At 44.9% G+C, this 13,477-nt stretch overlaps 1 protein-coding gene across 8 annotated transcripts in view, besides 2 other annotated features; it reads left to right on the forward strand.

Moving 5' to 3' along the window:
• PAAF1 (proteasomal ATPase associated factor 1) overlaps nucleotides 1-13,477 on the forward strand; it is a 54,416-nt gene that overhangs the window by 18,532 nt on the left and 22,407 nt on the right. For all 8 annotated transcript variants that reach the window (XR_007062508.1, NM_001267806.2, NM_001267803.2 and 5 more), the window contains 2 exons: nucleotides 3,916-4,014; nucleotides 5,040-5,190. Coding sequence is in view for 7 of the 8 variants with exons in the window: in NM_001267803.2 (NP_001254732.1) it covers nucleotides 3,916-4,014; nucleotides 5,040-5,190 (250 nt within the window). In the remaining variant the exon portion in view is untranslated. The remainder of the gene's footprint in view (nucleotides 1-3,915; nucleotides 4,015-5,039; nucleotides 5,191-13,477) is intronic.
• Nucleotides 1,732-2,511: an enhancer, noted in NCBI's record as "H3K27ac-H3K4me1 hESC enhancer chr11:73608007-73608786 (GRCh37/hg19 assembly coordinates)". NCBI's record gives its function as "activates a minimal SCP1, AML or CMV promoter by ChIP-STARR-seq in naive H9 embryonic stem cells {active_cell/tissue: H9 hESC(naive)}" and the evidence as "EXISTENCE:reporter gene assay evidence [ECO:0000049][PMID:30033119]".
• Nucleotides 12,113-12,252: an enhancer, noted in NCBI's record as "active region_5245". NCBI's record gives its function as "activates an Ori minimal core promoter by ATAC-STARR-seq in GM12878 lymphoblastoid cells {active_cell/tissue: GM12878}" and the evidence as "EXISTENCE:reporter gene assay evidence [ECO:0000049][PMID:35858748]".

The following is a 13,477-nucleotide window of genomic DNA, read 5'->3' on the forward strand; positions in this document are numbered from 1 at the left end:
TGGCCTGAGAAGTAGGTGAATTGTGTTCCATTTACTAATTGGAGGAGGAGGAGTTGTATTGGGATGGGGCAGGGGAAATAAAAGTTTTCTTTGGACATGTTCAGTTTGAGGTTTCCAGTCTAGCCTAGGTGTTCACTGCCTACCAGCAAGCAATTGGATAGATACCACCTGTATCAGGACAGAACCTGAAGTATGTTGCTTACAAGTAAAGGATCCACTACTAAGTTAGCAGTCCTTTTATTCCGAGGAAGCAAAATGAAGAAGAAAAGTCTTAGAAAATGTTAGAGTTGATGGATATATCCCTATAGTTCTTCCCAAACTTATTTATTATGGTTTAATTGACATAGAACAAAGTAAAATGGAAAGTTGGATAATTAAAGCCAAAGTCCCTACTTTTTTCTTAATAACTTATGTGGGAATTATTGTTGCTGGGAATGTGTCTGGAATTGCATATCTTGGTCCATCATTTCTGGAGCATTTGCAGCTGGTTGTTTTTTAATAAAAGTGTACATGTATGCATGTGTATAAAAGATTTGTTATTCTGATAATGGCTTATGCATGAAGTGATTGCTGATACTGAAATTACAAAAGTGAGGCTGGGCGCGGTGGCTCACGCCTGTGATCCTAGCACTTTGGGAGGCCAAGGCAGAAGGATAGCTTGAGCCCAGGAGTTCAAGACCACCCTGGGCAACATAGGGGGACCCCATCTCTCCAAAAAAAAGTTAAAAAATTAGCTGGACATGCCAGCCCATGTTTGTAATCTCAGCTATTGGGAAGCTCAGGCAGGAGGATCACTTGTTCCTGAGAGGCTAAGGCTGTAGTGAGTTGTAATCATGCCCCTGCACTTCAGCCTGAGCAACAGAGTGAGACCCTGTCTTTAAAAAAAACACAAAAACTATAAAAGTGAGTTTGGAAAACAAAAAGTGAATCTGAAATTTCTCTATTCTTTATTCTGAAAGATCTATATCTGTATATTTTCTATAGCTATACCTATATATAGGTATATGTGGAAATATCTGAACTCTTTTTTTTTTTTTTTACGATGTTTCTTTTTTTCTTTTTTTCTTTTTTATTTATTTTTTTTTTTATTGATCATTCTTGGGTGTTTCTCGCAGAGGGGGATTTGGCAGGGTCACAGGACAATAGTGGAGAGAAGGTCAGCAGATAAACAAGTGAACAAAGGTCTCTGGTTTTCCTAGGCAGAGGACCCTGCGGCCTTCCGCAGTGTTTGTGTCCCTGGGTACTTGAGATTAGGGAGTGGTGATGACTCTTAAGGAGCATGCTGCCTTCAAGCATCTGTTTAACAAAGCACATCTTGCACCGCCCTTAATCCATTCAACCCTGAGTGGATACAGCACATGTTTCAGAGAGCACAGGGTTGGGGGTAAGGTCACCGATCAACAGGATCCCAAGGCAGAAGAATTTTTCTTAGTACGGAACAAAATGAAAAGTCTCCCATGTCTACCTCTTTCTACACAGACACGGCAACCATCCGATTCTCAATCTTTTCCCCACCTTTCCCCCCTTTCTATTCTACAAAACCGCCATTGTCCTCATGGCCCGTTCTCAATGAGCTGTTGGGTACACCTCCCAGACGGGGTGGTGGCCGGGCAGAGGGGCTCCTCACTTCCCAGTAGGCGCGGCCAGGCAGAGGCGCCCCTCACCTCCCGGACGGGGCGGCTGGCCGGACGGGGGGGCTGACCCCCCAGACCTCCCTCCCCGACGGGGCGGCTGGCCGGGCGGGGGGGCTGACCCCCCCACCTCCCTCCTGGACGGGGCGGCTGGCCGGGCAGAGGGGCTCCTCACTTCCCAGTAGGGGCGGCCGGGCAGAGGCGCCCCTCACCTCCCAGACGGGGCGGCTGGCCGGGCAGAGTGGCTCCTCACTTCCCAGTAGGGGCGGCCGGGCAGAGGCGCCCCTCACCTCCCGGACGGGGCGGCTGGCCGTGCGGGGGGCTGACCCCCCCACCTCCCTCCCGGACGGGGCGGCTGGCCGGGCGGGGGGCTGACCCCCCCCACCTCCCTCCCGGACGGGGCGGCTGGCCGTGTGGGGGGCTGACCCCCCCACTTCCCTCCCGGACGAGGTGGCTGCCAGGCGGAGACGCTCCTCACTTCCCAGACGGGGTGGCTGCTGGGCGGAGGGGCTCCTCACTTCTCAGACGGGGTGGCTGCTGGGCGGAGGGGCTCCTCACTTCTCAGACGGGGCGGTTGCCAGGCAGAGGGTCTCCTCACTTCTCAGACGGGGCGGCCGGGCAGAGACGCTCCTCACATCCCGGACAGGGTGGCAGGGCAGAGGTGCTCCCCACATCTCAGACGATGGGCGGCCGGGCAGAGACGCTCCTCACTTCCCAGATGTGATGGCGGCCGGGAAGAGGCGCTCCTCACTTCCTAGATGGGATGGCGGCCGGGCAGAGAGGCTCCTCACTTTCCAGACTGGGCGGCCGGGCAGAGAGGCTCCTCACTTTCCAGACTGGGCAGCCAGGCAGAGGGGCTCCTCACATCCCAGAAGATGGGCGGCCAGGCAGAGATGCTCCTCACTTCCCAGACAGGGTGGCGGCCGGGCAGAGGCTGCAATCTCGGCACTTTGGGAGGCCAAGGCAGGCTGCTGGGAGGTGGAGGTTGTAGCGAGCCGAGATCACACCACTGCACTCCAGCCTGGGGCACCATTGAGCACTGAGTGAACGAGACTCCGTCTGCAATCCCGGCACCTCGGGAGGCCGAGGCTGGCGGATCACTCATGGTTAGGAGCTGCAGACCAGCCCAGCCAACACAGCGAATCCCCGTCTCCACCAAAAAAACACGAAAACCAGTCAGGCGTGGCGGCGCGCGCCTGCAATTGCAGGCACTCGGCAAGCTGAGGCAGGAGAATCAGGCAGGGAGGTTGCAGTGAGCTGAGATGGCAGCAGTACCGTCCAGCTGGGCATCAGAGGGAGACCGTGGAAAGAGAGGGAGAGGGAGACCGTGGGGAGAGGGAGGGGGAGGGGAAGGGGGAGGGAGAGGGAGAGGGAGAGGGAGAGGGAGAAGGAGAGGGAGAGGGAGAGGAATAGCTGAACTCTTGAATCCTCCTGGTGCATCTTAGAACATTATCTTTTGTGTAAGTGGGTTCCTAAGAATTAGGAGAGGTATCTTAATTTTCTTTTTATTTTTTATATTTACTTTAAAATTTTTTGTAGAGATGGAGTCTCATTATATTGCCCAGGCTGGTCTCGAACTCCTGGGCTCAAGTAATCTTCCTGCCTTGGCCTCCCAGAGTGTTGGGATTACACAGGTGTGAGCCACTGCACCTGGTCTTAATTTTAAAATAAAATAGCAGGGCTGGGCACGGTGGCCTATAATCCCAGCACTCTGGGAGGCTGAGATGGGAGAATCACTTGAGCTCAGGAGTTTGAGACTAACTTGGGCAACATGGTGAAACTCTGTCTCTACCGAAAAATACAGAAATAAGGCACAGTGGTGTGCGCCTGTAGTCCCAGCTACTCGGGAGGCTGAGGCAGGAGAATCACTTGAGCCTGGGAGGCAGAGGTTGCAGTGAGCTGAGATGGGGACATTGCACTCCAGCCTGGGTGATGGGAGTGAAACTCTGTCAAACAAACAAACAAACAAACAAATAAATAAATGCAACACATGGAAACTATGGAAATGAAATGGGGATAGGGAAAACTTTTTAGCTGAAGCATTAGACTTCAGATGATTAGAGGAATATCTTTTTGTTTGAAGAAGTAAAAGGTGTTTACTTCAGCCTTGTTGGGAGGTTGGTGATGATAACTCAACCTTTACATCAAACACAAGTCCTTTTGTTGGGAAACACAGGCTTCAGGAAGTCTTGGAAGAGTGAAAAAAGGGAAGTTTATAACATATTTCAAGGGAATAAGAGTATTTCATTATTTCTAACACATTGTTTGTTTTCTCTTTGAACAGATAACATGCCTGGACATTTCCAGCAGAGGAGGTCTTGGTGTGTCTTCTAGTACTGACGGGACCATGAAAATCTGGCAGGCTTCCAATGGAGAACTCAGGGTAAAGGATTTGGATGTACTTTTAGGTCTTAAACACAAAGGGTGGTCTGAGAAGCCTTGGACTGGGACATGGAAGGAAGAATGGCCCATTCTAAAAATGTGGGACCACTCTGCATGTCAGTTGATCTCTTTTCTCCCATTTGTGTGTTTCTTTTTCTTTTTCTCTTTTTTTTTTTTTTTTTTTTTTTGAGACAGTCTTGCTGTGTTGCCCAGGCTGGAGTGCAGTGGTGTGATCTCAGCTCACTGCAACCTCCGCCTCCTGGGTTCAAGCGATTCTTGTGCCTCAGCCTCCCAAGTAGCTGAGATTACAGGCATGTGCCACCACACACATCTAATTTTTGTATTTTTAGTAGAGATGGGCTTTCGCCATGTCGGCCAGGCTGGTTTCCAACTCCTCACGTCAAGTGATCTGCCCACCTTGGCCTCCCAAAGTGCTGGGATTACAGGTGTGAGCCACCGCTCCTGGCCTCTCAGCTGTCAATTCGAGAACCTTTCTCAAGCTCAGTGATTTGGCAGAACAGAGTGGGGCTGGAGCAGTTAAGGAGCCAGACCAGTGAAGGTCTAAGTGGGTGTGCCCTTGTTTTTTAATTGCCTTCAGTGATCCATTTCCAAGACAGAATAGCTTGGCTGTTAGACTGAATCTATGGCTGAGCCTCCAACCTTTACAAAGGATTTTAAACAGAGATGAGTGAAAAAGTCCCCAAGCCACCTCAGCTCTTTAACTAGATCTAGAGATGGCTGTGAAAGCCATGGAATTCTTTTTTTTTTTTTTTAACCTAGGCTCTGGGGTGTTTTTACATGGAATTCAGTTCTATAACCTCTATAGCTGAATTCGAGGAAACACCTTTTAGAACACTGCCTGCTAGACAAATGAGCTAAGAGATCCTTTGGATATCCTTAGTTTTAAAACCCAGCATGTGGGTTTAGCATGTAGGTATTTCATATAAGGGACCAGAGTATGGGAGGTAAGAGAACATCAAGGGATGGACAAGAGAACTAGCATGGAATTTTCTTTTGTTTTTCCAGAGAGTATTGGAAGGACATGTGTTTGATGTGAATTGTTGCAGGTTTTTCCCATCAGGCCTTGTGGTCCTGAGTGGGGGAATGGATGCCCAGCTGAAGATATGGTCAGCTGAAGATGCTAGCTGCGTGGTGACCTTCAAAGGTCACAAAGGAGGTATGAAGTGTGCTTTCTCCAAAAGGCTTCTCTAATGATCCCCAGAAATGAATCACTGAAAAGGTAGAAACAAGCTAGTTTATTCACAAATACACAAATAATCCATCCAGCTGGGCATTTAGATGAGCTGCCATTTCCCTAAGGACCAGAAATTCCTTTGCCACACAGTCTTTTTATTGCTATCTTGAACTGTCTTACACAGTTGGTTTGATACCTAAAGCCTTTTCCAGCTGGGTGCAGTGGTGCATGCCTGTAATCCCAGCTTTAAAAGTTGTTTTCTGGCCGGGCGCGGTGGCTCACGCCTGTAATCCCAGCACTTTGGGAGGCCGAGGCGGGCGGATCACGAGGTCAGGAGATGGAGACCATCCCGGCTAAAACGGTGAAACCCCGTCTCTACTAAAAATACAAAAAATTAGCCGGGCGTAGTGGCGGGCGCCTGTAGTCCCAGCTACTTGGGAGGCTGAGGCAGGAGAATGGCGTGAACCCGGGAGGCGGAGCTTGCAGTGAGCCGAGATCCCGCCACTGCACTCCAACCTGGGCGACAGAGCGAGACTCCGTCTCAAAAAAAAAAAAAAAAAAAAAAAAAAAAAAAAAGTTGTTTTCTACAATTGATAAAGGAAAAAAAAAATCCTCTCCAGGAAATCGTATACTTGTGTGCTGGGAAATAGAGAGAGAGAGTGAGAGAAAAGGAGATGTGTCTGCATTTTCTCATATTAGTCTTTTTGGCTGAGGGAACAGTAAAAGCTGGGTGGCTAATGGCTGCATCATCAGACATTATGATAGAGCTTGATGATTCCCATAGATTTAAATTACAGTTCGTGTTTTAAAAATGGATTAGCCATATAACCAGTTAATATCAGATTATAGATATACAGTGGGAACATCTTCCCTTTGTAACTGAGTTTTGTGGGGAAAAAATATTATTTAGGTATGTTTTATCCTTAATTGGAGTATTAAAAAGGAGATAAGTATGCTATTCCTATTTTACAAGTTTGAATATTTTAAAAATATGTGATAATATCCCCAAATAATTCCTTGATCCTTCTTCTGGAACCATAATACATATTGCGTGTACCACTCATTTGGGAATTAATTTGTATTGCCCTCTACTTCTGGGATTTTTAACTCTGTGTTTTTGTGAACCTCAGTACATTGTAACTTGTGTGTGGAGATCAAGTTTTAAGATTTTTTTTTTTTTTTAAGATGGAGTCTCACTCTGTCGCCTAGGCCGGAGTCCAGTGGCATGATCTCAGCTCAGTGTAACCTCTGCTTCCCAAGTAGCTGGGACTACGGGTACACGCCCCACACCTGGCTAATTTTTGTATTTTTAGTAGAGATGGGGTTTCACCATATTGGTCAGGCTGGTCTCAAACTCTTGACCTCAGGGTGATCCACCAGCCTCGGCCTCCCAAAGTGCTGGGATAACAGGCATTAGCCACTGCGCCTTGCCTTTTTTTTTTTTTTTTTTTAGTTTCGCTTGTTGCCCAGTCTGGAGTGCAGTGATGCCAGCTCGGCTCACTGCAACCTCCCCATCCCAGGCTCATGCGATCCTTGTGCCTCAGCTTCTCAAGTAGCTGGGATCACAGGCGTGCACCACCACATCCAACTAATTTTTGTATTTTTTAGTAGAGATGGGGTTTCGCTGTGTTGGCTGGGCTGGTCTTAAACTGGCCTCAAGTGATCTGCCTACCTTGGCCTCCCAAAGTGCTGGGATTACAGGTATGAGCCACTGCGCCTGGCCCAAGTTTTAAGTTTTAATATTTCTTTATAACATTTTGCCAGATTACATGCTGATGTTTTAGCAAACACACACATTAACCTAAGTACATAAATGGTTTACTTCCATGATGTAAGAAAACGGGTACATTGAGAGGGAATAGAAACAATATTCAGAGCCTTCCTTACATTACTGAAGAACTCATCACCTCCTGAAGAACTGAGAGATTGAAGGAGTCAGAATGGCCTACAGATCTGGGGAGTCCAGGAGCCAAAGTAGTCTAGAGGAACAGTGCAAGCTTCACCTCCGATCTGGCCATCCCTCTGAAGGTGTGGGCACAGGAAAACATTTCAGTGGAACAAGTCATGACTCAGCATGTTGAACTTAATTAACAAGATGCATATTCAACATCAGTGCACATCCAGTTTATAAATACCTTTGGATCACTGCAATTATTGTTCCCTTTACAGAATCCTAAGTCTCCCAACATTCCTTAATTCTCCCTAAGAATATGTATGGACCTTTAGCTTAGAGTAAATAGTAGAATGTTATTTATTTATTTATTATTATTTTTTTTGAGATGGAGTCTCACTCTGTCTCCTAGGCTGGGGTGCAGTGGCGCGATCTTGGCTCACTGCAACCTCTGCCTCCTTGGTTCAAGCAATTCTCCTGCCGCAGCCTCCCCAGTAACTGGGATTACAGGCATGCGCCACCATGCCCGGCTAATTTTTTTTTGTATTTTTAGTAGAGACTGGGTTTCACCATATTGGCCAGGCTGGTCTCAAACTCCTGACCTTGTGATCGCCTGCCGTGGCCTCCCAAAGTGCCGGGATTACAGGCGTGAGCCACTGCGCCCGGCCTAGAATGTTAAATCAATTTAGATATAAGCTTTTATTCATGTAGTTGTTCCATTCTTTTGGCCTTGTGAGAAAGTCCTGGGGTAGAGTAGTGCCTTCTGCAGAGTATAACAGCCCTGACTTTTTTCTTGAGAAGGGAGTTTTTAGTAGATTGAACGGAATGATATACTTTAGAAGAAATGACATGAAGTCAGATCCAGGCTGGCCTCTTATCAGGTCACAAAGGCTCCTTTCCAGTTCGTTGAATAAAGTAGCCCCAGGTTTGGGGTTGCCCATTCTTCCACAGCGTGGCAAAAATCAGGATTGATCTCTGATAGCTTAACAGCGTATATATAGATAGATCTGATAGCTTAGCAACCTATAGATTGACCGATCATCACTGTCTCCAACCAAATGACTTCCAAGTTGCTTTGTGTGACTTAAAAAGAAAAAAAATCTTGGTCCGGGCACTGTGGCTCATGCCTGTAATCCTAGCACTTTGGGAGGCCGAGGCGGGTGGATCATCTGAGGTCAGGAGTTCAAGACCAGCCTGGCCAACATGGTGAAACCCAGTCTCTACTAAAAATACAAAAATGAGCTGGGTGTGGTGGCTGGAGCCTGTAATCCTAGCTACTTGGGAGTCTGAGGCAGGAGAATCGCTTGAACTCAGGAGGCAGAGGTTGCAGTGAGCTGAGATCACACCATTGCACTCCAGCCTGGCCAACAAATGAAACTCTGTCTTCAAAAAAAAAAAAAATCTCTTATGAGATTTTGAAGCATTTTGTTCAGAGCCATGAACCCATATAAAAAGAAACATTAAAAAAAATTGGCCGGGCGCAGCGTCTCACCCCTGTAATCCCAGTACTTTGGGAGGCCGAGGTGGGAGGATCACCTGAGGTCAGGAGTTCAAAACCAGCCTGGCAAACATGGTAAAACCCTGTCTCTACAAAAAATACAAAAATTAGCCAGGTGTAGTGGTGTGCGCCTGTAATCCCAGCTACTTGGAAAGCTGAGGCAGGAGAATCACTTGAACCTGGGAGGCAGAGGTTGCATTGAGCCAAGATTGCACTACTTCACTCCAGCCTGGGCAACAGAGCGAGACTCCGTCTCAAAAAAAAAAAAAGTATATATATATACATAAATTGGTCCCCCAATTGTGTGTGTGTGTGTATTTAAATATATATAACTAAAGGATTAGTTTGTTCTCTACTTAATTAACAAGCAGAGGTAAGGTTTCTGTGTATGCTGAATTTTTCAAGTGGAAAGGTAGACTAAAAGTAGTTTTGTGATTGTAACATATGAGTTCAATAAGTAATTCTAAAATGCACTTTAATCAGTTTGAAGTTAAATTGCCCAGGCCATTTAAGTAAGCTTGTGAAATTTGGGGATATACATTTATAATCCTAATTCTTTATAATAAGCATTACATCTTTCATAATCAGTGAAACATTGAGACCAAATTACACCCTATTTTAGTTAACTAGTTGGCTTTATTTTTATTTTTTTTCTCATAATGGTAGTGGAAATGCTTACATTTATAGAATAATTTTAAGAAACCAGGTTGCAGTATCAGCACTTGCGCCATTATTTTCCAAGTCTTAAATACTTTCTTAGAAATTGGCTATGCCGCCTCCAAGTAATAGGAGGTGCTTCAAGGCTTATTTTTTTTTCGGAGATCTGAGTCATAGCCATTAATTTTCCCATATACGCATGTATGTATATTGCTCCCTAGCAACATTAAAACAGCTTAATATGATAGAGAAACTAAATAAATACACTTGTTAAGAATATACACCTGGGAATATGAAATTTGCTTTATTTCTTACAAATATTTATTTCAGGAATAGTTTCATCTAATGTTATTCGTATTTCCAGACTTTGGCTGGGATGCTCGTATGTGATTCTGCTGAATCTTTTCTTGAAGGCAAATGCTTTTGTGTTCTGGTTTGTATGGTGAAGACTTGTATCTATTTGGTTTGATATCTAAAGCCTTTTCCAGCTGGGTGCAGTGGTGCATGTCTGTAATCCCAGCTATTTGGAAGGCAAAGGTAGGTAGATCTCTTGAGGCCAGGAGTTCAGGGCTGCAGTGTGATATAATTGTGCCTGTGAATAGCAATGGCACTCTAGTCTGGGCAATATAGTGAGATCCCATCTCAACAAAACAAAACAAAAATAACAGTAAAGCTTTTTGCAGCTTCTGGTAAGTCTTAGCTATGGCTGCTTCTCTTGGAAAGGCATTCTTGAAATTGCTGCTTTCTTTTTTTTTTTGAGACAGAATCTCACTCTGTTGCCCAGGCTGGTGTGCAGTGGCGTGATCTCAGCTCAGTGCAACCTCCGCCTCCTGGGTTCAAGTGATTCTTCTGCCTCAGCTTCCCAAGTAGCTGGGACTACAGGTACACGCCACCATGCCCGGCTAATTTTTGTATTTTTAGAAGAAACTGGGTTTCACCATATTGGCAAGGCTGGTCTCAAACTCCTGACCTTGTGATCCTCCCTCATTGGCCTCCCAAAGTGCTGGGATTACAGGCATGAGCTACCATGCCTAGCCAAAATTGCTACTTTGATAGCTTCTTTCTAAAGTCATTCTTCATAGGTTCCCACTTCTCTAGGCTCCTCTTTTCTTTATTCTTGTCGTGTAAGTGTTAAGAGACCCACACTAGATGCTGTTACATTATGAGTGACATTTTATTTACTAAAGAGAGGGTGATAATTTTCCACTCTGCTTTTATAGAAAAGGAAAACTATCTAGATTGCAGCTCTTTGGTGAGTATTACTTGAAATTTATACACAATTAATAATATAGTCAGCTTTCTAGCCACAGCTATAGCATCCCTGCCTTGAATACATACTTTTCAGAATTTTTTTTTTCCAAAAGCATGTATCACTTCCGTGGAACTCAGTAGCATTTTGAAATAGTGGTTGGAACTTCCAGTAGAGACATAAGGAGATCTTTGATTGCTTAATAAGAGCTGAAAGACCTTCCTTATGGTGATTCCTTAGGATTCTTAAAAGCTCTAAGATACTTTCTAATTAGATTTTTGCTGAATGTATTATGGAGTTGAAATAGAAATGTAGATTTTCCAAACTCAAAATACTTTAGTGACCAATTGCAAAATAAGAAACAAGATGGCAGCAAACCATATGGGCTTGATAGATCTGTTTTTGAAAGGAAGACTGAAAAATCTTTTCTCTAGTGGCCTATATCCAGTGGGTATATAGCTGTGAGAATTACATTTACCTAACAACCGTTGCCAGCTGTATAAATTGAATTTCGTTTAGTTTTGTTTGTTTGTTTGTTTTTTTGAGATTCCCTCTGTTACCCAGGCTGGAGTGTAGTGGTGCAATCTCCGCTCACTTCAACCTCTGCCTCTCGGGTTCAAGTGATTCTTGTGCCTCAGCCTCCCAAGTAGCTGGGATTACAGGCACCTGCCACCACACCTGGCTAATTTTTGTATTTTAGTAGAGACGGGTTTCGCTACGTTGGCCAGGCTGGTCTTGAACTCCTGGCCTCGAGTGATCTGCCCGCCTCAGACTCCCAAAGTGCTGGGATTACAGTTGTGAGGCACTGTACCTGGCCTGGATTTAGTTTTTATTTTAAATTGGATCTATTTGAAAAGTTACACTATAGTGATTAGGTCCCACCTGAGTTGCTTTTAATGATATTTTCTCACACAGACCCTAAATTGGCTACTTTTTAAAGCTGTGGCATTTTCTTAAACTCATCTTTTTCTAAACAAAGTGAAATTTCCAGTAAGACTTGAGAGACATGTGGTTAATCACATTGGATTGGCACTTGTACGTTACGCTGAGTTGCTGTAGAGTTTTTGTCAAGGTTTGTGTATCTGAAGTCATTTCATTTTAAGAGGAAAGAAAGTATGCTAAAGACCACTAATTAGCTATGTGACTTTTGGTCAGTTACTCTTAATTTATTGGGCACCTATACTAAGCATCGTTAAATGGGTTTTAATGAAACAAATACTAGCCCTGCCTGGATCACCATAGGGTTGCACTACCTCTCTACTCCATACAACTCTGTGTTTTTACACCTGTACCATTGTATTGTATGTCTTTTTTTTTCCAGATATATTCTGTTTGTGTATTTTTTCTCTTTTTTTTTTTCCATTGTAAGTCTTTATGTCTATAATCAACTCTATTTTTTTATGCTGTGTATTCCTGAGGCTAGGGACCATAGCAAATATTCAGATTATAGATAATAAAGGGCTTCAAAAACTATAAAATCGATAGGCATTTTGGACATTATAACACTCGATCTTAATTCCATCATCTTTTTTGGCAGGCAGTTCCCTGTTGAGGTATGGTATGAGGGCTGGGTAGATAAGAATGTTCAGCCACCTACTGGACTCCCCTGACACTACCCTGGCAAAAGTGGAGCACTGACTCATACCGCCTCACACTGCAGACAGGGGAGGTGGAAGTTCAGCTTCCCCCTTGGTCCTGTGTCATCTTCTTGGTGAAAGTAGGACACAGTTGCACCACCTGACTTGCATCACCTCATTGCCTTCTAGTGGCGTTATAAGCTTGGTTCCCTGCTGACTGACACCTGGGAAGGGGTGGTGGGCACCTCAGGGCACCTCTTTGTGCCTGTCACTGCCAGGTGGGGATGGAAACTGAGCTCACTGCTAGATCCTGTGACAGTACCCTACTTAACCTGGTCAACCCCACTGGGTAGGGGAATGGGAGTGCTGCTGCCGGCTTCCATGGGAGCGGGGTAGATGATCACCTCCTGTTCAGCCCCACTGAAACCATGGGGGAGGGGAAGTAACAGTTTTTCTGTTGATGTCTACTGGTATAGGGTGGATGTTGCCAAGATTTCTATTTTGTGAGCTACTTCTTTCTCAGTCTTTGGGCTAGGGGCAACAGACTTTACTGGGAGTTTTGTTTTGTTTTGTTTTTTAACTCTGTTCCTGTTAGCAGTTTTGTGTTGGAGGCTTCTGCAGTGTCCTGTCCAGGACATGTGGGAGGCAATAAGGAAATCCAGGAACTCATTGCTGTGTTGTTTTTTAAGTCCTGAGGTCCTTAAGTGGTCCACCACCTTCTTTCCATCATTCCAAGTCTTACTATGCTTGTGGTGTCAATGACTTTTCAGTTGTAAACAGAAGGACCTAGGAGCAATGGGACTACTCTTTCTTGGCCAAAACCAGAAGTCATGTCCTTTTTTCAAATGGGGAGGCTAACCCTTTTAATCAATTATCAGTGAAAGCAGCAGCAGCATATATGTAAATAAATATATATATATGTGTGTATATATATGTGTATATATATGTATATATGTGTATATATGTGTATATATGTATATATATGTGTGTATATATGTATATATATGTGTATATATGTATATATATGTGTATATATGTGTATATATGTGTGTATATATATATGTATATATATGTGTGTATATATATATGTGTATATATATGTGTGTATATATATATATGGGTCTTGCTCCACTGCCCAGGCTGGAGTGCAGTGGAGCAATCATGGCTTACTGTAGCCTTGAACTCCAGGGCTCAAGCAATCCTCCCACCTCAGCCTCCTGAGTAGCTGGGATTACAGGCACGAGCCACCATACCTAAATTAAATTTTTTGTACAGACAGAGTCATGCTGTGTCACCCAGGCTGGTCTTAAACTCCTGCGCTCAAGAGATTCTCCTGCCTCAGCCTCCCAAAGTGCTGGAATTACAGGTGTGTACCACTGCACCTGGCCAAGGCAGTG

Source organism: Homo sapiens, chromosome 11 (genome assembly GCF_000001405.40).
Source record: "Homo sapiens chromosome 11, GRCh38.p14 Primary Assembly".
Taxonomy (NCBI): domain Eukaryota; kingdom Metazoa; phylum Chordata; class Mammalia; order Primates; family Hominidae; genus Homo; species Homo sapiens.